Below are 25,389 nucleotides of genomic sequence, written 5' to 3'. Positions count from 1 at the left end.
TTCTCTCTGGCTGCCCTTAACATTTTTTCTTTCATTTTGACCTTGGAGAATCTGTTGATTACGTGTCTTGGGGTAGATCTTCTCGTGGAGTATCTTTCTGGGGTTCCCTGAATTTCCTGAATTTGAATGTTGGCTTGTCTTGCTAGGTTGGGGAAGTTCTCCTGGATGAGATCCTGAAGTATGTTTTCCCACTTGTTTCCAATTTTCCTGTCTCTTTCAGGTACCCCAGTCAGTTGTAGGTTCGGTCCTTTTCCGTAATACTGTATTTCTCAGAGTTTTTGTTCATCGTCTTTTCTTTTTTCCTTTTTTCTTTTTCTGAGACAGAGTCTCGCTTTATTAGCAGGCTGGAGTGCCGTGGTGCAATCTTGGTTCACTGCAATCTCCACCTCCCGGGTTCAAGTGATTCTTGTGCCTCAGCCTCCTGAGTAGCTGGAATTATAGGTGCACACCACCATGCTTGGCTAATTTTTGTGTTTTTAGTAGAGACAGGGTTTTGCCATGTTGGCCAGGCTGGTCTCGAACTCCTGACCTCAGGTGATCTGCCTGCCTCGGCCTCCCAAAGTGATGGGATTGCAGGCGTGAGCCACTGTGCTCAGTCTCATTCTTTTTTCTCTATTCTTGTCTTTCTGTCCTGTTTTAGAAAGATAGTCTTACAGCTCTGAGATTCTTTCCTCTGCTTGGTCTATTTTGCTGTTGATACTTGTGATTGCATTGTGAATTTCTTATATTGTGTTTTTCAGCTCCATCAGGTCATTTATGTTCCTCTCTAAACTGGCTGTTCTCATTATCAACTCCTGTATTGTTTTATCATGATTCTTAGCTTCTTTGCATTGGGTTAGAACATGCTCCTTTAGCTCAGTGAAGCTTTTTATTACCCATTTTCTGAAGCCTCCTTCTGTCATTTCAGTCATCTCAGCTTCAGCCTAGTTCTGTACCCATGCTGGAGAGGTGTTGCAGTCATCTGGAGTCACTCTGGATTTTTGAGTTTTCAGCGTTTTTGCATTGATTCTTCCTCATCTTTGTGGGCTTATCTACCTTCTATCTTTGAGGTTGCTGACCTTTGAATGGTGTTTTTGTGGGATCTTCTTTGTTGATGTTATTGTTGTTGTTATTGTTTTCCGTTCGTTTGTTTTTCTTTTAACAGGTCACTCTTCCATAGGGCTGCTGTGGTTGTTGGGGTTCCACTCCAGACCCTAATCTCCTTGGTCCTCCCACACCTGGAGATATTACCGGTGAAGGCTGCAAAACAGCAAAGGTGACAGCCTCCTCTTTCTTCTCGGAGCTTTGTCCCAGGGGCACACTGAACAGATGTTGGCCTGAATGCTCCTGTAGAAGGTGTCTGGAGCCCCTACTGGGAGTTCTCACCCAGTCAGGGGGAACAGGATCAGGGACCTGCTTAAAGAAGCAGTCTGGCTGCCCTTTGGCTGAGTGGGTGTGCTGAGCTGAGGGGAATCCTCCTTGTACAGACTGCCTGGACTCTCCAGAGCCAGCAGGCTGGAAAGGCTAAGTTGGCTGAACTGCAAATACAGTCACCGCTTCCCCCCCGCCCCTCCCCTCTTGGTGGCTCAGTCCCAGGGAGTGATCAGAGATCTGTTCATATAACTCAGGCTAGTGTAGCTGAAATTCCTGCAGGGAAGCCCCACCTAGTGAGGAGGGATGAAGCAGGGTCCCACTTAGAGGAGCAGTCTGACCACAGTCTGCTGTGTTGTGGAAAACTCTTCCCGTTCCAGACCTCCTGGACTCCCCAGAGGAGCCGGCAGGCTGGAACCACAGAGATGGCAGCTGCCCCCACTCCCAAGCCCCTCAGGAACTTGGTTCATTTCAGGCAGTCTCCAGCTTCCTGCCACTGGCCAGCTGGAATTCCAAGCCAGTGGGTGTTAACATGTGAGGTGCCATGGGAGTGGGGCCTGCAGAACGATGCTGCTTGGCCCCCTGGATTCAGCCCCCTTCCTAGGGGAAGGCATGGATGGATTTCCCGCCTTGCTGGAATTCCCAGGGCCAGAGTATGCAAAATTCCTGGGTCTCTGTGCATACCAGAGCCACTCTGTTGAGACTCCGCATAGCGCTATGCTTTGGACCCAAGGTCCTGGTGGTGTGGGCTCAGGGGGGGATCTCCTGATCTGCAGGTTGCAAAGATCTATGGGAAAAACGTGGTTTCCTGGGTGGGGTCGCACACTCACTGCCTCCCTTGGCTGGGGTAGGGCCTTCCCTGGCTTCAGAAGGGGCCGTCTCCCCACCCTGCTTTTCCTCACTCTCTGTGGGTTTAGCCATCCACCTAGTGAGTCCCAGTGTGAGAACCTGGATACCTCAGTTGAAGGTTCAGAATTTCATTTGCCGTTTTCATTCTTCTCTGTGATAGCCACTGACTGCAGCTGCTTCTGGTACAGTACTGTTAACTATGTTCAGAATTCACCAGTTTTTCCACTCAAGTTCATTTTTTTCTGGTTCAGTATCTAACTCAGCATCCCACATTGCATTAATTGTCATGTCTTGTTAGTCCTCTCTAGTTTGTGATGATTCCTTAGGTTTTTCTTTTTTTTTTTTTCACGATTTTGTTACTTTTGAAGAATACTGGTCAGTTATTTTGTAGAATGTCTCTCAAGTTGGGTTTGACTTATGATTTCTCATGATTACAGCAAGGTTATACATTTTTGGTAAGACTAGCTACAAATTAATAGTCTAAAAATACTATATTTTTAGCAAATATATCAGAGGTACATGATATCAATATGCATTATTCTTGGCGAAATTAACATAGATCATTTGGTTAATGTAGTCTCTGCTGTGTTTTTCTACTATGCAGTTACTCCTGTTCCCTTTGTAGTTAATAAATATCTTGGGGAGGAATTTACTTTGAGACTTTGCAAATATACTGTTTCTGCTCAAATTTTTGCCCACTGATTTTAGTATCCATCTTGTCTGCAACAATTATGGCTATGGTGCTCTGATGGTGATTCTCTATTTTCCCCATTCTTTCTACATTTATTGATTGGAATGTTTCTATATGGAAGAGCTGTGTCTTTTTCTCCCCATTTATTTATTTATTCAGTTATTTGCTTATATCTGTATGGAATTATGGATATTTATTTTATTACTGGATTATAATCCAATACTATTTTTATTTCTTTTATTGCTCAAATTGTTCCCTCCTGGGTCATTGAGAACTCTTTCAGGTTGGTTCCTGGAACCTTTTGACAGGCTTATCCTTTTTTGAGAACTTTCTTACTTTCTGACACTGTAAGATGATCCAGGCTTATCTTATATTTTCCCTGCCCCAGCCCTAGAATCAACCACTTTTTCAGGAAGCCCTGGTTTATTGTAAAATGATATTCAAAACCAAGATCCGGGTGCTTGGTGTGCTTATTGCTACTGAGATGTTTATCTTATTAGTGGACAGATCTAGGATTTCTGTGTATATACTAACCCATGCATATACCTATATCTATTTCTAAATCTATATGTACACCTACACTTATGTAAAGAAACCATGAGTTTCATCCAATACCACAGAGTTCATTCTAGTCTTCCTCCCTTCTCTAATTGTAGTTTATTTCTTTGACAGTAAGAAATCTGACTCTCTTTATCTGCAACATGTTTGATTATTTGTTCAACCCTAATCTACACATACAGTTGTTTTGGAATTGCGAACCCATACTTCTGTTACTATTTGACTTTTTTTTTTTTTGAGTTACTGATTGTCTTTTTTTTTTTTTGAGATGGAGTCCCCCTCTGTTGCTCTGCTGGAGTGCAGTGGCGTAATCTTGGCTCACTGCAACCTCTACCTCCCAGGTTCAAGAGATTCTCCTGCTTTAGCCTCCCAAGTAGCTGGGACTTACAGGCACCTGCCACCGTGCCTGGCTAATTTTTGTATTTTTAATAGAGACGGGGTTTCACCACATTGGTCAGGCTGTTCTCGCACTCCTGACCTCAGGTGATCCTCACACCTCAGCCTCTCAAAGTGCTGGGATTACAGGTGTGAGCCACTGTGCCTGGCCTCTGATTGACTTTTAATTTGTAATTATGGAGAACTGTTAGGGAAAGCAACATACTAGGAGATGGATTTTGATAGTGATAACTTTTATCAGTTTAATTAACTTAGGTATCATTCCTATCAACTTTTCCTTCTATAGTTTACTTTGCCTTATGTAATGTACTAAAGATATAAGACTGGCATTATAGCATATCATCAACTAATTTGCCTGAGTATGATCATAAGAAAATATTAAACATCTTTTCTGTTGCAAAGATCTAAAAACCACAGATTGTTGGAGTAACTTTGAGGTGACAGATATTCAATGCTTCTTAAAAATATATATTTTTTCTGAACACAAAAGAGGTGTATACTCAGAAGAAAAAGTCACACTTTACAGAAATAAATGAAACATACAGAAATTCCTCATAACCCTTTATGACAACCACTGCGCACCCACATATACCAGATAACTGTTCAATGCTTTTTTAAACTTGAACATTTTATCATATTTTTTGAGGTTTACTTTTGTAAATTTGCCAGAATGATAAACGGCCAAATCCCACTGTACATCTAGGAAACTAATACAGATGTTAGGAGAAATTGTGGGATTTTGATAGTATTAAGGTATTTTTCTGGGCAGGGTTTTTTTCTAGGCAATGCATGACTGCACCCAAACCGTAGCTGATATCTTTATGAGTTTCTCAAGAGAAATAGTGGTATGTGCATAATGCCCAGTGGCAAGTGAAAAACAAGGAATTAAGAGATACTTCTTCCTGGCATCTCTTTTTTTTTTTCTTTTTCTTTTATTTATTTATTTATTTTTATTTATTTTTTTTATTGATCATTCTTGGGTGTTTCTCGCAGAGGGGGATTTGGCAGGGTCACAGGACAACAGTGGAGGGAAGGTCAGCAGACAAACAAGTGAACAAAGGTTTCTGGTTTTCCTAGGCAGAGGACCCTGGGGCCTTCCGCAATGTTTGTATCCCTGGGCACTTGAGATTAGGGAGTGGTGATGACTCTTAACGAGCATGCTGCCTTCAGGCATCTGTTTAACAAAGCACATCTTGCACCGCCCTTAATCCATTTAACCCTGAGTGGACACAGCACATGTTTCAGAGAGCACCGGGTTGGGGGTAAGGTCATAGATCTTACACCATACCCCAACAGCATCCCAAGGCAGAAGAATTTTTCTTAGTACAGAACAAAATGGAGTCTCCTATGTCTACTTCTTTCTACACAGACACAGCAACAATCTGATTTCTCTATCTTTTCCCCACATTTCCCCCTTTTGTATTCGACAAAACCGCATCATCATCATGGCCCGTTCTCAGTGAGCTGTTGGATACACCTCCCAGACGGGGTGGCGGCCGGGCAGAGGGGCTCCTCACTTCCCAGAAGGGGCGGCCGGGCAGAGGCGCCCCTCACCTCCCGGACGGGGTGGCGGCTGAGCGGAGACGCCCCCCACCTCCCGGACGGGGAGGCTGGCCGGGCGGGGGCTGCCCCCCACCTCCCGGACGGGGCGGCTGTCGGGCGGAGATGCTCCTCACTTCCCAGATGGGGCGGCTGCTGGGCGGAGGGGCTCCTCACTTCTCAGACAGGGCAGCTGCCGGGCGGAGGGGCTCCTTACTTCTCAGACGGGGCAGCTGGGCAGAGACGCTCCTCACCTCCCAGACGGGGTTGCGGCCGGGCAGTGGTGCTCCTCACATCCCAGACGGGGCGGCGGGGCAGAGGTGCTCCCCACATCTCAGACGATGGGCGGCCGGGCAGAGATGCTCCTCACTTCGTAGATGGGATGGCGGCCGGGAAGAGGCGCTCCTCACTTCCCAGACTGGGCAGCCGGGCAGAGGGGCTCCTCACATCCCAGACGATGGGCGGCCAGGCAGAGATGCTCCTCACTTCCCAGACGGGGTGGTGGCCGGGCAGAGGCTGCAATCTCGGCACTTTGGGAGGCCAAGGCAGGCGGCTGGGAGGTGGAGGTTGTAGCGAGCCGAGATCACGCCACTGCACTCCAGCCTGGGCAACATTGAGCACTGAGTGAACGAGACTCCATCTGCAGTCCTGGCACCTCGGGAGGCCGAGGCTGGCAGATCATTCGTGGTTAGGAGCTGGAGACCAGCCCGGCCAACACAGCGAAACCCCGTCTCCACCAAAAAAATACGAAAACCAGTCAGGCGTGGCGGCACGCGCCTGCAATCGCAGGCATTCGGCAGGCTGAGGCAGGAGCATCAGGCAGGGAGGTTGCAGTGAGCAGAGATGGCGGCAGTACAGTCCAGCTTCGGCTCGGCATCAGAGGGAGACCGTGGATAGAGAGGGAGACAGAGACTGTGGGGAGAGGGAGAGGGAGAGGGAGACCGTGGGGAGAAGGAGAGGGAGAGGGAGAGGGCAAAGTAGAGGAATTTTCCCCTGGCATCTCTTTCAGCCACCAAATGACCACAACTTGGTGCCTTATATGAAGTATAATTTGGAACCAATCTCATCCTGAAGTCATATCTCATTAATGAGTAAACACATCTGAGATGTTTCATTCTGCAAATTTTTTTTTTTTTTTTTTTGAGATGGAGTCTTGCTCTGTTGCTCAGGTTGGAGTGTAGTGGTGCAATCTCGGCTCACTGCAACCACCGCAACTCCACCTTCTGAGTTCAAGTGATTCTCCTGCCTCAGCCTCCCAAGTAGCTGGAATTACAAGCGTGAGCCACCACGCCTGGCTAATTTTTGTATTTTTAATAGAGATGAGGTTTTACCATGTTGGCCAGGCTGGTCTTGAACACCTGACCTCAAGTGGTCCACACGCCTCGGCCTCCCAAAGTACTGGGATTACAGGTGTGAAGCACTGCACCTGGCCTGCAAATGCTTATATCTTCTTTCACCAAGTTAGGTACTGGGGGTATTAAAATGAATGAAGGTTGGTTGTTACCATAAGGATCTTTAAGGGAAGAAACACAGGTAAGCCAATAATTGTAATATAACATGAATAGTGTGATTTAGGAGTGCAGAGGTGGGAGGGACCCCTGCTTGGAACTTTACAGGGGAGGTGGTATTTAAACTACTCTTTAGTACCTGGCTTCTCTCTGTGCCATCACTCGGCAATGAATTTTTTCAGTCCTGTGCTAATTGAAGTAGTTTTCTAAACTCCATTTTGTCATCTGTTCAATTCCCTTTTAATGAAGTTCTTTATATTTTTAACATGTCTGTCTGCTCATTTTATTCCTTTCCTGGAGAACTTCAATGCTTATATTTTAGGTAAAGAAGGGAGTTCAGAATCTTTTGTGTAACATCCAAGTCCTGCAGGTCAGTCCTCAGCCTGTCCACTCATCTCTTCCTCCTCCATACACCCCTTTCTCCAGCTACACTGAACTGCTCCCCCAAAACAGGTGCTTTTTAATGTTTGGCTCCATGCCTTTGTTCTGTTATTCTGTCTCTGTGAAAAGCTCCTCCCTCATCTGTGCTTTCTGCAATCATACTCTATTTCAAGGTCCAGCTCAAGTTCCATGTCTTGCATGAAACCATTTCTTATCCTTCTAGCTATCTCCCAAGTTTGAATAGTTTCTTCTTCTAACTCCTCACTTTGTCTTTTTTCTCTACTATATTGTTAGCTTCCTGTGGGTCAGCCTCTTCGTATTTCTTACGGTATCTTTAACCACATATCCTTAATTACTTTTTAGCCATTTTATACTGAGGAATTTTATGAATATCTTGGCTTTGATCTTTTGCTTCTGGATCCTCTTTAGACCCTCACGTTTGTTTATTTATCTCTAAATGTTTTAATTCTAGTGCTAGGTCTTCTGGGTTCTAGGACAGCTGGATAGAACTATGTGTTAAGACTTTTCATTGAACATTAACTGCTTATGTGGACTCAGTCAAATGTGTTGATTAAAGGCATGCATTTTGGAATCAGACAGAACCAAGCTCTAGCCCCAGCTCTGTTTTCTCTTGAAAAAGTTACTTAACCTCTCTAAGCCTTAGTTTCATCATCTTTAAGTTAGGCTAAAAATACTACCTCCTGCTGACAGGTTTTGTGAGAATTAAAGTATTTAGCATAGTGCCTAAAACATAAAAGTGTGCAATAAATGTTAAATTCTTTGTCTTTACCTGTCCCTTCTTTTCCTCTCCCTTCTCCTTTTCATTCCCTCTTTTATTTTTACTCCCTAATCCCACTTCCTTTTTCTTCTCCATGAAATATCATTACTGTTTATGAAATTAGTCTGTTTTGCTAATATCCAGCTTCTTTTAGGATTTTTTTTTGGATTCAGAAGTTATCGGCAAATTAATAATTTTTCATGTGTTAATGCGGCAGGTCACCATAAATAAATTGCCTCGTGATGGGAATTTTGTCATTCTGGTACTTTCAGTTGTACTCAATTCTTAGCTGTATATAGGTGTTGCATTGATGAAAACCACTTTTTTAGGGGAAAGGCATCAAAATCAGTGGCTTATTTGTAGCACTATTGTATTCTCTTATATAGTAATGTAATACTAACCTAAATCTTAATGTATTTTCTCTAATTTATAGCAAATAATTTTCTTTTTTTTTGAGACAGAGTTTTGCTCTTGTTGCCCAGGCTGGAGTGCAATGGCGTGATCTCGGCTCACCACAATCTCTGCCTCCCAGGTTCAAGCAATTCTCCTGCCTCAGCCTCCTGAGTAGCTGGGATTACAGGCATGCACCACCATGCCCAGCTAATTTTGTATTTTTAGTAGAGATGGGGTTTCTCCATGTTGAGACTGGTCTCGAACTCCTGACCTCAGATGATCCTCCCGCCTCAGCCTCCCAAAGTGCTGGGATTACCGGCATGAGCCACTGCGCCTGGCAGCAAAGAAAATTTTTAACTCTCAAAATCAATGGCTTATTCATAGCACTATTATATGCTCTTATGTAGTAATGTAATACTAACCTAAATCAATATATTTTCTTTACTTTGTAGCAAAGAAAATTTTTAACTGTCTTTGTGCTTTTTTGAGAAAATGGACATTGATGTAAAATGAGGAAGTATGCCCCCCCCAATAAAGCAAGTATACAAAAATCAGTGTTTTAAAATATAGACAGTTTTTAGATAAGAAAAGGAGATGAGAGAATAAGCAAAATATTCTATGCAGAATATCTTTACTTTAATCTTTGATTCCTGCTTATAAGGATGGATGTTCATGCAGCCAGTGAATAAGGAGCAGAGGATTCTGCTACATGAGGACCGGCAGGCTCAGTTTGAATAAATCATGTGGACATTCTTTATTTGTCCAATCATTATTTATTCAATATCTAGTACCCAGGAAATGCACAGCTGGGATAATACAAAAATGATTAAGAAATTGTTTCCTTTAGAACATATAGTGAATTAAGTATGAGAGAAAACATGTCTAAGTAATATTTAAGACAAACTATGGAAATATAAAATAATAGTTTGCAGAGGAAAGAGTGATTAAATTAATTTGCTGTTAAGAAAGCTGTTTGCTATATTTTATATTTGTTTATATTTCTATAAAAAGAAAGGAAGTAAGTAATAGGTTAACTGAACGTGAGATGATTATGATAAGATTCTCAGTCTTAGTTGATCCATAACTGTCATCACAGTTTTAGTAGGGGCTTTTCTAGCTGCTGTATATATTCATCTCTCTAGACATGAGACGTTTGTTCTCTAGGCATCTGGCCTCTCTTAAGCTTTCTCAATTATAACACTCACTAAAACTTTTTTTTTTAACTTTTAGTTTTGGGGGTACATGTGCAGGTTGGATCTATAGATAAATTGTGTATCATGGGGGTTTTATGTACATATTATTTTGTCACCCAGGTAAGTAGCATAGTATCTACTAGGTAATTTTTTGATCCTCACCCTCTTCCCACCCTCCACCCTCAATTAGGCCTCAATGTCTATTGTTTCCTTCTTGGCATCCATGTGTACTCAGTGTTTAGCTCCCACTGATAAGTGAGAATATGCAGTGTTTGGTTTTCTGTTCTTGCGTTAGTTCACTTAGGATAATGGCCTCCAGCTCCATGTTGCTCTAAAGGACATGATTTTGTTTTTTTTTATGGCTGCATACTATTCCATGGTATATATGTACCACATTTTCTTTATCCAGTCTACCACTGATGCTCATTTAGGTTAATTACATGTCTTTCCTTTGGTGAATAGGGCTGCATTGAACATACATGTGCATGGGTCTTTATGGTAGAAGAGTTTATATTCCTTTGGGTATATACCCAATAATGGGATTGCTGGATGGAATGTTAATTCTGTTTTAAGTTCTTTGAGAAATTGCTAAACCGCTTTCCATAGTGTCTGAGCTAATTTACATTCCCACCAGCAGTATATAAGCATTCCCTTTTATCTGCAGTCTTGCCAGCATCTCTTGTTTTTTTGACATTTTAATAGTAGCCATTCTTACTGGTGTGAGCTGGTATGTCATTGTGATTTTGATTTGCATTTCTCTGGTGATTAGTGATGTTGAGCATTTTTTCATATGCTTCTTTGCCGTATATATGTCTCATTTTGAAAAATGTTTATGTCTTTTGCTCACATTTTAATGGGTTTTTTTTGCTTGTAGATTTAAGTTTCTTGTAGATTCTGAATATTAGACCTTTGTCAGATGCATAGTTTGCAAATATTTTCTCCCATTTTGTGAGTTGTCTGTTTACTCTGTTGATAAGTTTCTTTTGCTTTGCAGAAACTTTTTAATTAAGTCCCATTTGTCAATTTTAATTTTTGTTGCAGTTGCTTTTAGCATCTTCATCATAAATTCTTTGCCAGTGCCTAGTCTATAGTGGTGTTTTCTAGTTTATCTTTCAGGATTTTTATAGTTTTAGGTTTTACATTGAAGTTTTTAATCCATCTTGATTGACTTTTATATATGGTGTAAGGAAGAGGTCTAGTTTCAGTCTTCTGCATACAGCTAGCTACTTATCCCAGCACCATTTATTGAATAGGGAATCCTTTCTCCATTGCTTGTTTTTGTCAGCTTTGTTGAAGATCAGAGGGTTGTAGGTATGTGGCTTTACTCTATTCTGTACCATTAATCTGTATGTCTGTTTTTGTACCAGTACCATGCTGTTTTGGTTACTGTAGCATTATAGTATAGTTTGAAGTCTGGTAATGTGTTTGCTCCAGCTTTGTTCTTTTTGCTTAGAATTGCAATTGTTATTTGGGCTCTTTTTTGGTTCCATATGAATTTTAGAATAGTTTTATTTTTCTAATTCTGTGAAGAATGTCATTGGTAGTTTGATAGAAATAGGATTGAATCTGTACATTGCTTTGGGTAATATGGTCATTTTAACAATGTTGACTCTTCCTATCCATGAGCTTGGGATGCTTTTCTATTTGTTTGTGTCATCTCTGATTTCTTTGAGCAGTGCTTTGTAATTCTCGTTGTAGAGATTTTTTTACCTCCTTGGTTAGCTATATTCCTAAGTATTTTTATTCTTTTTGTGTCTATTGTGAGTGGGATTGTGTTCTTGATTTGGCGCTCAGCTTGGACATTATTGGTGTATAGAAATGCTACTGATTTTTTTTACATTGATTTTGTATCCTGAAACTTTGCTGAAGTTGTTTATTAGATCTAGGAGCTTTTGGGCAGACTATGGGGTTTTCTAGGTAAAAAAGAATATTGTCTGCAAACAGAGATAGTTTGACTTTCTCTCTTCCTATTTGGACGTCTTTTATTTATTTCCCTTGCCGGATTTCTCTGGCCAGGACTTCCAATACAATGTTAAATAGGAGTGGTGAGAGTGAGCAGACTTGTCATGTTCCAGTTCTCAAGGGGAATGCTTTTGGTTTTTGCCCGTTCAGTATGATGTTGGCTGTGGGTTTGGCATAGATGGCTCTTATTATTTTGAGGTAAGTTCCTTTAGTGCCTAGTTTGTTGAGGATTTTTAACATGAAGGGATGCTGGATTTTATTGAAAGCCTTTTCTGCATCTATTGATATGATCATGTGGTTTTTGTTGTTCTCTTTGTGTGATGAATCACATTTATTGATTTGCGTATATTGAACCATTCTTGTATCCTAGGGATAAAACCTACTTGATCAGATTGCAGTGAATTTGTTTTTGATGTGCTGCTGGATTCGGTTTGCTAATTTTTTTTGAGGATTTTTGCATTTATGTTCATCAAGGATATTGGCTTGTAGGTTCCATTTCTTCTAGGTTTTCTAGTTTATGTGCGTGGAGGTGTTCATAATAGTCTTTTTTTTTTTTTTTTGTCTTTCTGTGGGGTTGGTGTTAATGTTATATTTGTCATTTCTGATTCTTTATTTGGATTTTCTTTTTTTCTTTATTAGTCTAGCCAGTGGTCTTTTGTTGTTGTTGTTGTTGTTGTTGTTGTTTTTCAGACGGAGTCTTGCTTTGTTGCCCTGGCTGGAGTGTAGTGGCGTGATCCCGGCTCACTGCAAACTCCACCTCCCGGATTCACGCCATTCTCCTGCCTCAGCCTCTGGAGTAGCTGGGACTACAGGCACCTGCCACCACACCCGGCTCATTTTGTTTTTGTATTTTTGGTAGAGACGGAGTTTCACTGTGTTAGCCAGGATGGTCTCGAGCTCCTGACCTCATGATCTGCCCACCTTGGCCCCCCAAAGTGCTGGGACTACAGGTGTGAGCCACCGCGCCTGGCCGCCAGTGGTCTGTCTGATTTATTCTTTCAAATAACCAACTTGTGGTTTCACATGAAAACTTATATTAATTATAGATCTAGTAGGAACAAACATGTCTAGGCCAGTGATATAATTATTTTGATTACATACTGCAGTTGATTTAAAAAAATTAGGGTGCATTTTAATAGATAGGCTTATTTTTCTCTAATTACACACACTTATTGTATATTAGTATATGATGCACCTCATAAAACATACACAAAACTAGATATCAAAAAAGGAAGAAGTATTGGTGAGATAAAGTCTTTAAAAATGTTTTGGTCAGTAATGATAGTATAATGGAGTCTCACTATTATTATTTATTATCTCAAAGCACAATATATATTTCGGGTGAGATTCCCTGTTAAGGATAGTAAGATGCAAGTCCACAATTCAAATAAACTTGATAATTTCTTCACTGCTCTAGGCATGCCCTCTGGGGCACAAGTCTCTGAAACTCTCATCTAAAGACATTTATTCTTGGGAGTGTTTCTGAATCTATTCCTTTGTGGGAGGCTGCCCAATTCGCAAAAAGAAAAACAAATGTGTATATATATTTAAAACAGATATATATTATATATATCACCGTTTTAGGATAGGACAACTTCACACTGTAATTAAAAAATCACAACAGTGGCCAGGTGCGGTGGCTCACACCTGTAATCCCAGCACTTTGTGAGGCCAAGGCAGGCAGATCACGAGGTCAGGAGTTCGAGACCAACCTTGCCAACATGGTGAAACCCCATCTCTACTAAAAATACAAAAATTAGCCAGGCATGGTGGCGCGCCCCTGTAATCCCAGCTACTTGGGAGGCTGAGGCAGGAGAATTGCTTGTACCCGGGATGTGGAGGTTGCAGTGAGCCGAGATCATGCCACTGCACTCCAGCCTGGGTGACAGAGCAAGACTATGTCTCAGAAAAAAAAAAATCACAACAGTATATTTTTTCTAAGTCTATCCTTCCTCCACTCCTAAAGCCAGTTATAAGAGAATCTAGTAAGGAAAACAATTTTGCAGGGTATGGGAATATTATTGTTATTTGTACTTGAAGCAGTCAGACATGGAAGATGTTATCTACTTCTGTTTTGGAGATGAAAATGTATTATAATGTTAATCATGTAAAGCTATTTCTACTTTTATTGGTTATGTTGGATATATAGTTTCAGAAATCTGACAATGACTTTATCTTACAGATCACGTTAGTTTCTTTAAAATGACAGCAGAGGGCACTATGGTATTTAGTTTTCCAAAGCCAGTTTTAAAATTGGAAAATTGTTGCCATTTTTATGTGTAATGCAGTGTATCTATTCAACTAGTTGAATGAATAGCTATGAAACTTTTTGTTCTTTGCTTTTTCGCTATGTTAGGAGTATAAAAATTTTGTTGAGTATTGGTAAAGTTGAGGTGCACTATTTTTCTGGGTTCCACATTTGCTTTTGTTTAGTACTCTTTAAAAAGAGTACTTGTAAATCTGTTCACTAATCTTTAAAGTTTACTTATTTGAATCACCTTGATTAAAATCAGTACTGTGAGAAAAAAGCTTTCAGTGAATATTATATAAGAAATTTAATTAAAGCTTTGAAAGATTTTTTTGTAGGTCCTAGCATCTCTAGTCATATGTCAGATATAATTTTATTAGCCCACAGGCTGTCAGAGATAGTATGCCCAGAGTGATACACATTACCTTTGTATTACAGCATTTGTTTAGGAAGCAAGTCAGTCTTAGTCTGACAGGAAGCCCATGTATTTATTTCTACATCCTTAATGAGAAAAGAAGAAAAAGCTTATTTCACAGAATTTCCTTGGGGAAATGATTTGAAGGTTTCATTTATATTTTAAGAATGTAATTACATTAATTGGGTTGTATAGGTTTTAAAGAAGATAAACCCCGATGAGCGGAAAAATACATTGTAAATACATTATAAATATAGAAAAGGGAAAAATCTCAGCACCTATTTTGGTCAGTCTGTTATAAATTAGCTCAAAATAATAGCCAGAATGTTTGCCTGTAATGCAGTAGTTATTCCCCAGAACTCTCTTGTTGCCTTATTGTTACCAGTTTTGTTCGGAAGGAAATTGAAAATCTGTGACATGCCCAAGGTCACATAGCAAGACAATAACATTGGTAGTGACATTATAATAGTTATTCCCCAAACCTATACCCAGTTGACCAGTGTATATTTCTTTAGATGTTAGTTTTTATTTCTCATATCTATATAAATTCTAGAAGTAGCTTGATTAAAAAAAAATGAATATTCATTATTTACAAATAATCAGTTTTGATATATAGTTATGTGATATTTTTTGCCTGTCAAGTATAATAGTTCATAGGAAGCAAGGAACTTTTTTTTTTTTTTAAGAGATAGGGGTCTTGCTGTGTTGTCCAGGCTGGAGCATAGTGGCTATTCACTGGTTGTACTACTACAGCCTCAAAGTGGGCTCAAGTGATCCTCCTGCCTTAGCCTCCTGAGTAGCTGCACCCTGCTATGTGCCTGGAGAAGCAAGGAACTTTTAAAAAATTATTTCTGGCACAGTGAGAACAAATAAGCTCCATGAGGGTAGGAATCTTTGTTCTTTTTATTGTCCCAAGTGCCTAATATCTGGCACTTAGGTATGCAGTAAATATTTGAATAAAAATTTGTTGAATTTATAAATTATTCAATCCATTATTAATTTAAATATTTAAACCTTCTAGAGAGATTTTAGAATGAGGAGAGCAGTTACTCTGCACTTACCCACTAGTTTAGGAAGAGATGGTTTAACAGTTGGTCAGCTAATCACCATTACCATGCATGCAGAGCATTGTCGGGGAGGAAAGATTGATAGTAAGGTAATAAAGCAGAAATGCGTCCTATAAAGTAACTTGCTAAATATAAAGCTAGTTGAGATGTTTTAAAGAGCTACAGTTTTATTAGTTTGAAGTAATTATAAGTAAAATTAGGTTAATAAAGAGAATATGCTTTAAAGTAAATAGAAAATGTTTTGTGAGCATATAAAATCATGAGTTAAAGCAATTAGTTTTAGGTTAAATCACGCTTATAGTGTTTACACATAAATTGTTTAGCTATTTTTTTAGTAACTGTTTTCTTCAGTAAATATTTTTGTCTTTTATGTGCGATCACTTATCAAAATGATCACAAAATATAATAAAGGAAGACCTGACACTCTGAATTTCATTTGTAATACAAATGAATTACTTAAGTACCAGAGAGGGCATAAAGGAGAAATTAAACTTTGATATATAAAAAAAAATTAACGAATGGGATAGAAAATTGTATAGGAGGAGAAAAGCATTCAAAGGTTTAGAGAAGACGGAATGTAAAGATATTCCTTCAGGCTGGGCACGGTGGCTCACGCCTGTAACTTCAGCACTTTGGGAGGCCGAAGCAGGTGGATCACTTGAGGCCAGGAATTTGAGAAACTTCACCTCTACAAAAAAAAATCCAAAAATAACATTAATTATTCAAATACAAAAATTAGCCAGATGTGGTGGTGCACACCTGTAACCTCAGCTACTCACGAGGCTGAGGCATGAGAATTGCTTGAATTGGGAGGCGGAGGTTGCAGTGAACTGAGATCATGCCACTGCACTCCAGCCTGGGTGACAGAGTGACACCTGTCTCAAAAAAAGAAAAAAATCCTTTATGTATTCAGCAATATCTATTGAGCACCTACTATGCCAGGTGCTGGGGATATAGCAGTGAAAAAGGTAGGCTAAGTCCTTGCCTCCCTGTAGCTTACATTTTAGAGAAGGAAACCCACATTCAGCTAACATAATGTCAAATAGTAGTAAAATGCTGTGAAGAAAAATCAGTCAGAATAAGGGGATAGAGAGTGATAGTGAGAGAAAAGGTGGATGATTTGATTGATTGATTGATTCATTGCTAGGGTTTTTCTCTCTCTGTTGCCCAGGCTGGAGTACAGTGGTGTGATCATAGCTCACTGCATCCTCAAACACCTGGGTATGAGCAGTCTTCCTGTTTCAGCCTCCCAAGTAGCTGGGACTACAGCTGTGCACCACCGTGTCTGGCTAATTTTTAAATTTTTAGTAGAGATGAGGTCTTGCTATGTTTCCTAGGCTGATCTCGAATTCCTGTGCTCAAGTGATCCTTTCTCCTCAGCTTCCCAAAATTCTGAGATTACAGGCATGAGCCACCATGCCTTGCCTTGGATTATTTTAGAATGGGGCATTGGAGCAAAGACCTGGTCTAAGTGAATCTTTAAGCTCTGCAGATATCTGGGATAAGATACCAGGCAGAGCACCAGTTGCTAGACACTCAGGTGCATAAGACTACTTTAGGCCACACCTAATACCAGAAAGATATAGGCCAGGAGCCACAAATTTGCATTTGTGGCATTGTAGAGCAACCTTAGATGACCCTTTTCTGCTGGCATCCTTGTGGCAGTCTGGCATAGCAGTCCAGCTCAGGTGGAAGGTGATATGTTCCACACTAGGCAGATAAGGTAGCCTAATAACTTTATGCTCTCAGGAGCCAACATCTTTTGTAACAACTCTCTAGCAAGTTTCTAGGGTTCCAATTTAGGGAAGTCCAAAGTATGGTGTCCCCATAGGGTCTTTATAGGTCTCTAGTCCATATGCAATCTACCAGTCAGTTGTCATTTAAATCACATACAGTGTTGCTTAGCAATATAGTTATCATGTTGCCAGGGTAACAGAGCTCGTTAGTTAAGGGAAGGTCAAATTTTCATGCAGGGGGAAGGGTTTTGGGTAAGCCATTTTGTCCATAGCTTTGTTGTTTATTATTCTTTGATTACTACTTCTCACAAAAGTTCATCAAGCTTTGCCAACCTTCAGATGTAGACAGGAATGGGTAAGTGGGCAGGATGTAGATACGAATGAATTCAAGTCACTTGAAAAATAAAACCCACTGGTGTGGACACCTCTAGAGCCTTGCACATCAAACTGTGGTCTTTACATTCTTCACCCCCTCACTCCTTACTCACTAGCAGCATCATCACCACCTAGGAATTTGTTAGAAATGCACATTCTCAGGCTTACTGAATCAGAAGCTCTGAGGGCTGGGGCTCAGCTGTCTAGTTTAATGAGTCCTCTAGGTGATTCTGATAACAGCAAAAGTTTGGGAATCACTGTACTAGGGGATACAAAAATTAAATGAAAACTCTGCTCTTAGAGGGTTCATCATCTAGAAGTGAGAGGAAGATGTGAAAACAAAATTTTGTCATATGATGTGGTCAAGTGTTTAAATGGAAGTATTAATAGGAATCTAAAGGAAATACATACGACTAAAATAAAAGAAAGTGAATTCAGCCCTGGGAGTAACAGAGACGTGCAAACAAGATGAGAGGCGTTGTCTTGGAGCATAAGCAATGTGGTCCTGGTTGGATACTGTACTTAAAATAATATTGTAAATATTGCAGATTTATGGGTTAAAGACTGCTGTTGTGGGCTGAGAATCTAACCACTTCCAGACAACCAACTTTTAAATAGACTTTTGGAGTAGAGTTTCTAAATGTTCTTAAAGGTTCCTGTCAGGCCTTTGAGCCCAAGCCTGCATGTTTACATCCAGATGGCATGAAGCAAGTGAAGAATCACAAAAGAAGTGAAAATGGCCAATTCCTGCCCTAACTGATGACATTACCTTGTGAAATTCCTTCTCCCGGCTCAGACGCTCCCCCACTGAGCACCTCATGACCCCCGCCCCTGCTTGCCGGAGAACAACCCCTTTGACTGTAATTTTCCACTACCTACCCAACTCCTATAAAATGGCCCCACCCCTATGTCCCTTTGCTGACTCTTTTTGGACTCAGCCTGCCTGCACCCAGGTGATTAAAAAGCTTTATTGCTCACACAAAGCCTCTTTGGTGGTCTCTTCACACGGACGCGCGTGACATTTGGTGTCGAAACATTTGGTGCCGTGACTCGGATTGGGGGACCTCCCTTGGGAGATCAATCCCCTGTCCTCCTGCTCTTTGCTCCGTGAGAAAGATCCATCTACGACCTCTGGTCCTCAGACCAACCAGCCCAAGGAACATCTCACCAATTTTAAATTGGGTAAGCGGCGTCTTTTTACTGTCTTCTCTGTCCTCTCACTATCCCTCAACCCCTTTCTCCTTTCAATTTCTGCGCCACCTTTCAATCTCTCCCTTCCCTTAATTTCAGTTCCTTTCTTTTTCTGGTAGAGACAGAGGAGACGCGTTTTATCCGTGAACCTAAAACTCCGGTGCCAGTCACAGACTTGGGAAGACAGTCTTTCCTTTGTGTTTAATCACGCGGGGACACCTGCCTGATTATTCAGCCACATTTCAGAGGTGTCTGATCACCATGGGGACGCCTGCCTTGATCCTTCACCTTGGTGGCAAGCACTACCTCCCCGAGGCGGGGCAAGTACCCTCCCACCCCTTCTCTCCATGTCTCTACCCTCTCTTTTCTCTGGGCTTGCTTCCTTCACTATGGGCAACCTTCCACCCTCCATTCCTCCTTCTTCTCCCTTAGCCTGTGTTCTCAAAAACTTAAAACCTCTTCAACTCACACCTGACCTAAAACCTAAATGCCTTATTTTCTTCTGCAACACCGCTTGACCCCAATACAAACTTGACAGTGTTTCCAAATAGCCAGAAAATGTCACTTTTGATTTCTCCATCCTACAAGATCTAGATAATTCTTCTCGTAAAATGGGCAAATGGTCTGAGGTGCCTGACGTCTAGGCATTCTTTTTCACATCAGTCCCTTTCTAATCTCTGCTCCCAATGCAACTCGTCCCAAATCTTTCTTCTTTCTCTCCTGTCTGTTCCTTCAGTCTCCACCCCAAGCTCTGAGTCCTTTGAATCCTCCTTTTCTACAGACCTATATGACCTCTCTCTTCCTCCCCAGGCTGCCCCTTGCCAGGCCGAGCCAGGTCCCACTTCTTCCTCGGCTTCTGCTCCTCCACCCTATAATCCTTCTATCACCTCCTCTCCTCACACCCAGTCCGGCTTACAGTTTCCTTCTGTGACTAGCCCTTCCCCACCTGCCCAACAATTTCCTCTTAAAGAGGTGTCTGGAGCTAAAGGCATGGTCAAGGTTATTGCTCCTTTTTCTTTATCCAGCCTCTCCCAAATCAGTTAGTGTTTAGGCTTTTTTTCATCAAATATGAAAACCCAGCCCAGTCCGTGGCTTGTTTGGCAACAACCCTTAGAGACTTTACCTTCCTAGACCCAGAAAGGCCAGAAGGCCGTCTTATTCTCAATATGCATTTTATTACCCAATCTGCTCCTGACGTTTAAAAAAAGCTCCAAAACTTAAATTCCAGCCCTCAAACCCCACAACAGGATTTAATTAACCTTGCCTTCAAGGTGTACAATAATTAAAAAGAGGCAGCCAAGCAGCAATGTATTTCTGAGTTGCAATTACTTGCCTCTGCTGTGAGAGAAACCCCAGCCACATCTTCAGCACAGAAGAACTTCAAAACGCCTAAGCCACAGTGGTCAGGCATTCCTTCAGGACCTCCTCCCCCAGGATCTTGCTTCAAGTGCTGGAAATCTGGCCACTGGGCCAAGGAATGCCTGCAGCCCGGGATTCCTCCTTAGTCATGTCCCATCTGTGCGGGACCCCACTGGAAATCGAACTGTCCAACTTGCCCGGCAGCCACTCCCAGAGCCCCTGGAATTCTGGCCCAAGGCTCTCTGACTCCTTCCCCGATCTTCTCGGCTTAGCAGCTGAAGACTGACACTGCCTGATTGCCTCAAAAGCCTCCTGGACCATCACAGGCGCTTGAGGTAACTCTTACAGTGGAGGGTAAGGCCGTCCCCTTCTTAATCAATACAGAGACTACCCACTCCACATTACCTTCTTTTCAAGGACCGTTTCCCTTGCCTCCATAACTGTTGTAGGTATTGATGGCCAGGCTTCTAAACCTCTTAAAACTCCCCAACTCTGGTGCCAACTTAGACAATATTCTTTTTTTTTTTTTTTTTTTTTTTTGGAGATGGAGTCTCACTCTGTCACCGAGGCTGGAGTGCAGTGGCGTGATCTCGGCTCAATAATACAAGCTCCGTCTCCTGGGTTCACACCATTCTCCCACCTCAACCTCCTGAATAGCTGGGATGACAGGCGTCCGCCACCATGCCCAGCTAATTTTTTGTATTTTTAATAGTGACGGGGTTTCACCATGTTAGCCAGGATGGTCTCGATCTCCTGACCTCGTGATCTGCCCGCCTTGGCCTCCCAAAGTGCTGGGATTACAGGCGTGAGCCATCGCGCCCGGCCGCTTAGACAATATTCTTTTGTGCACTCCTTTTTAGTTATCCCCACGTGCCCAGTTCCCTTATTAGGTCTAGGCATTTTAACTAACTTATCTGCTTTCCTGACTATTCCTAGGCTACAGCCACAACTCATTGCCGCCCTTTTCCCCAGTTCAAAGCCTCCTTCACATCCTCCCCTTGTGTCTCCCCATCTTAATCCACAAGTATGAGACACCTCTATTCCTACCTTGGCGAATGATCATGCACCCCTTAACATCCCATTAAAACCTAATCACCCTTACCCCACTCAATGCCAATATCCCATCCCACCGCATGCTTTAAAAGGTTAAAGCCTGTTATCACTCACTTGCTACAGCATGGGCTTCTAAAGCATATAAACTCTCCTTACAATTCTCCCATTTTACCCATCCAAAAACCAGACAAGTCTTACAGGTTGGTTCAGGATCTATGCCTTATCAACCAAATTGTTTTGCCTGTCCACCCTGTAGTGCCCAACCCGTACACTCTTGTCCTCAATACCTCCCTCCACAACCCATTTTTCTGTTCTGGATCTCAAGCATGCTTCCTTTACTATTCCTTTGCACCCTTCATCCCAGCCTCTCTTTGCTTTCACTTGGACTGACCCTGACACCCATCAGTCTCAGCAACTTACCTAGGCTATACTGCCACAAGGCTTCAGGAACAGCCCCCATTACTTCAGTCAAGCCGTTTCTCATGATTTACTTTCTTTCCATCCATCTGCTTCTCACTTTATTCAATATTTTGACAACCTTCTACTTTATAGCCCCTCCTACAAATCTTCCCAAAAGGACACCCTTCTGCTCCTCCAACATCTGTTCTCAAAAGAATATCGCGTATCCTCCTTCAAAGCCCAAATTTCTTCCTCATCTGTTACCTATCTCGGCATAATTCTTAATAAAAACACACGTTCTCTCCCTGCTGATCGTGTCTGGCTAATCTCCCAAACCCTAACCCCTTCTACAAAGCAACAACTCCTTTCCTTCCTAGCATGGTTAGGTACTTTCACCTTTGGATACCTGGTTTTGCCATCCTGACTAAACCGTTATATAAACTCACAAAAAGAAACTTAGCTGACCTCATAGATCCTAAATCCTTTCCCCACTCCTCTTTCCTTTCCTTAAAAACAGCCCTAGAAGCTGCTTCCACACTAGCTCTCCCTAACTAATCCCAACCCTTTTCATTACACACAGCCGAAGTGCAGGGCTGTGCGGTCAGAATTCTTACACGAGAGCCGGGACCGTGCCCTGTAGCCTTTCTGTCCAAACAACTTGACCTTACTGTTTTAGGCTGGCCCCCACATTATTCCTGATACCACACCTGACCCCCATGACCGTGTCTCTCTGATCCACCTGGCATTCACTCCATTTCCCCATATTTCATTTTTTCCTGTTCCCCACCCTGATCACAGTTTGTTTTTGTTTTTGTTTTTTTGAGATGGAGTCTTGCTTTGTCGCCCAGGCTGGAGTGCAGTGGCATGATCTCGGCTCACTGCAAGCTCCGCCTCCCGGGTTCATGCCATTCCCTGGCCTCAGCCTCCCAAGTAGCTGGGACTACAGGCACCTGCCATCATGCCCGGCTAATTTTTTTTTTTTGTATTTTTAGTAGAGACGGGGTTTCACCGTGTTAGCCAGGAAGGTCCCTAACTCCTGACCTTGTGATCCGCCCGCCTCGGCCTCCCAAAGTGCTGGGATTACAGGCGTGAGCCACCGTGCCTGGCCCACAGTTGGTTTATTAATGGCAGTTCCACCAGGCTTAATCGCCACTCACCAGCTAAGGCAGGCTATGCTATAGTATCTTCCACATCTGTCAACACTCTATGTTGCCCCAATAACATTTTACCTAAAAGGTTGATTTCTAACCTTTAGTAGATGAACTACCTATTACAATATGTTTTTATAATATATATTATCATTCATCAAATGTGTTATGCAACATTTGTTATTAAAGTGAGTCTAACTTCAATTCATTTTGGGGATTTTTAGAACTATACAAAACCACAATATAACTGAAGTTCCTCAATAGTATCACAAAATCAACTTATTTGAACTGCCCTTTTTAACTAAGTTTTACAGATAAAAGTTAGGACTTTTATCTGTAAAAGGTTAAAATTGGTTGAGTATGGTGGCTCATGCCTGTAATCCCAGTGATAGGAACAGGAGGCAGAGAAATTCTAGGCAGAAAAGGGCAAGGTCCCTGGCAAAGCCCCACCCTCAAGCCTGGAACTATGCCCCAAAGTGAGAACATGCATTCCTGTTTTCCCGCTCGAATGCTGTCTTTTCCAAAACCACACATGGCCCGTTCCACCCCCATCCTGTACCCATAAAAACCCCTGACTGTACTGGCAGAGAGAAGAGAAGGGGAGAGGAGGAAAGGCAGCTGTATGGTAGGGACTGCAGTTTGACGTTGGGGAAAAGCAGCTTGACATTAGAGGGATGGCTTGATGCTGTTGCTTCGGAGAGTCCAGCTCGGGACAGTCGGAATCCAGGGGAAGATCACCTTCCTGCTCCATCCCTCTTCCAGCTCTCCTTCCCGCTTAGAGCCACTTTCATCGGCAATAAAATCCTCCATATTTACCACCCTTCAATTCATTCCTGTGACCTGATTTTTACTGGACGCCGAACAAGAGCTTGGGTGCCACCAGTGTGGGCAGCAAAGCTAAAAGAGCACTGTATCACATGCCCTCTGGGGCTTCAGGGGTCACGAGTACTCACCTAGACACTGCCGGGGGGCCCCATGGAGTTTTGCACCTGCCGGCACCCAACAGTGCTAGCTCTGGCTCCTGCACTTGCTCACCTGCTGCTCCCCGTCCCACCAGGCGTTGAGAGCTGTGGGCTGAGTAAGTGAGGCAGGCACTCCTGTCATGATGCTCAGGAAGGGGTCAAGGAAAATTTTCTGTTTCACCAGTACTTTTTGAGGCTGAGGTGGGCGGATCACTTGAGGTCAGGAGTTCGAGACCAGCTTGGCCATAGTGGTGAAAACCTCTCTCTACTGAAAATATAAAAAATTAGCTGGACATGGTGATGTGTGCCTGTAATCTCAGCTATTCAGGAGGGTGAGACACGAGAATCGATTGAATCCGGGAGGCAGAGGTTGCAGTGAGCTGAGGTTGTGCCACTGCACTCCAGCCTGGGTGACAGAGTGAGATTCTGTTTTTTTTTGTTTGTTTGTTTTTAAAGATTAAAGCTAATGTTTGTAGACTTACAGCTTTTCTTCAGTCAAAATTTGAATAGATTTATTAAAAAAAATTCAAAGTCAAACTCTACCCCACCCGCCACATTGAAATACTATTAGCATAGAGATACTTTATTTAAATTTGCCTGGTTATGTTGGAGAAACATGTTTTTACTTGGTTCTTCTGTCCTATGATGTATTTATTCTTTGAATCATTTTAGTTTTTGGTTTTGATTAACTTAATAGAAAAAATCAGAATCTTGTTTTTTAGAATTTGAATGTACCTCATCCTGTTCCTGTTTCTACTGAGTGAGGAATCCTTTCTTATAGCAGTCCTCGATCTGTTTGTCATTGCACCCTGTTTCATCAGTTGGTGTCTGTCCCTCTTTTGTGTTTACTCCTGTGACCACAGAAAGACTTTCCATCTCAAAAATCTCCTCATATTCCTGAGAGGAAATCCAGTGTGGGGCAGAACAATCATTGGAAATCATCTCAGAAGTCACTGGAAATCAGGTGTATTGATTTTCCTTGGGTTAAACTTACATTCCAGGTTCAGTGGGGTTGGAAAGAGGAGGTGGAGTCATGTATAATATGATTTTACTTCTGCCTAAGATATCTAGATAATTTCTTCATCCAGAGCATAGATTTGGCAGTTTCTTGCAGAATGAGAGGGTGTGTTTAACAGATGTTTGAGCCAATTTACCCACACTGTATGGTTTATTAATAAGCATTTCTTAATCTCAGTCTAAAATTCCACAATAAGTAAAATTGAGGAAAGAGTTAACAGTGATCAGCTTGTATGTATGGTATTGGAAATTCCCTTTAATATAACATTTATTTGTATACTATTGTAATGGCATATAACATCTGCCTGTGATCGTTTGTGAAAAATTTACTCCCATATCTGGGATCTGGCCACTTAATGAATTTCTTTCTTTCTTTCTTTCTTTCTTTCTTTCTTTCTTTTTTTTTTTTTGAGTTGGAGTCTCGCTCTGTCGCCCAGGCTGGAGTGCAGTGGCACAATCCTGGCTCACTGCAACCTCCATCTCCTGGGTTCAAGCAACTCTCCTACCTCAACTTCCCGAGTTGCTGGGATTATAGGCACCCACCACCACTCCCAGCTAATTTTTGCATTTTTATTAGAGTTGGGGTTTCACCACATTGGCCAGGCTGGTCTTGAACTCTTGACCTCAGGTGATCTGCCCACCTCAGCCTCCCAAAGTGCTGGGATTACAGGCATGAGCCACCGTGCCTAGTCATGAATTTCATATTATAAATGCATATACCAAATATAGTATTTAATGGTAAAATACAAATGTTTATTCATACATTACCTTTGGAAGGACATAAAAAACCAGTCATTGGTTGCCCCTAAAGGAAGAGAATA

The 25,389-nt window shown here is 42.0% G+C and overlaps 1 protein-coding gene across 4 annotated transcripts in view, besides 4 other annotated features; it reads left to right on the top strand.

Moving 5' to 3' along the window:
• Positions 1-25,389, top strand: part of DTWD2 (DTW motif tRNA-uridine aminocarboxypropyltransferase 2) — a 152,474-nt gene that overhangs the window by 17,805 nt on the left and 109,280 nt on the right. The window lies entirely within an intron of this gene.
• Positions 19,148-20,038: an enhancer, noted in NCBI's record as "H3K27ac hESC enhancer chr5:118286400-118287290 (GRCh37/hg19 assembly coordinates)". NCBI's record gives its function as "activates a minimal SCP1, AML or CMV promoter by ChIP-STARR-seq in naive H9 embryonic stem cells {active_cell/tissue: H9 hESC(naive)}" and the evidence as "EXISTENCE:reporter gene assay evidence [ECO:0000049][PMID:30033119]".
• Positions 20,744-21,245: an enhancer, noted in NCBI's record as "H3K4me1 hESC enhancer chr5:118285193-118285694 (GRCh37/hg19 assembly coordinates)". NCBI's record gives its function as "activates a minimal SCP1, AML or CMV promoter by ChIP-STARR-seq in naive H9 embryonic stem cells {active_cell/tissue: H9 hESC(naive)}" and the evidence as "EXISTENCE:reporter gene assay evidence [ECO:0000049][PMID:30033119]".
• Positions 23,082-23,601: an enhancer, noted in NCBI's record as "H3K4me1 hESC enhancer chr5:118282837-118283356 (GRCh37/hg19 assembly coordinates)". NCBI's record gives its function as "activates a minimal SCP1, AML or CMV promoter by ChIP-STARR-seq in naive H9 embryonic stem cells {active_cell/tissue: H9 hESC(naive)}" and the evidence as "EXISTENCE:reporter gene assay evidence [ECO:0000049][PMID:30033119]".
• Positions 23,602-24,122: an enhancer, noted in NCBI's record as "H3K4me1 hESC enhancer chr5:118282316-118282836 (GRCh37/hg19 assembly coordinates)". NCBI's record gives its function as "activates a minimal SCP1, AML or CMV promoter by ChIP-STARR-seq in naive H9 embryonic stem cells {active_cell/tissue: H9 hESC(naive)}" and the evidence as "EXISTENCE:reporter gene assay evidence [ECO:0000049][PMID:30033119]".

Source organism: Homo sapiens, chromosome 5 (genome assembly GCF_000001405.40).
Source record: "Homo sapiens chromosome 5, GRCh38.p14 Primary Assembly".
Lineage (NCBI taxonomy): Eukaryota > Metazoa > Chordata > Mammalia > Primates > Hominidae > Homo > Homo sapiens.
The sequence above is the reverse complement of the archived record's forward strand: the minus strand, read 5'-3'. Positions and strand labels throughout refer to the sequence as shown.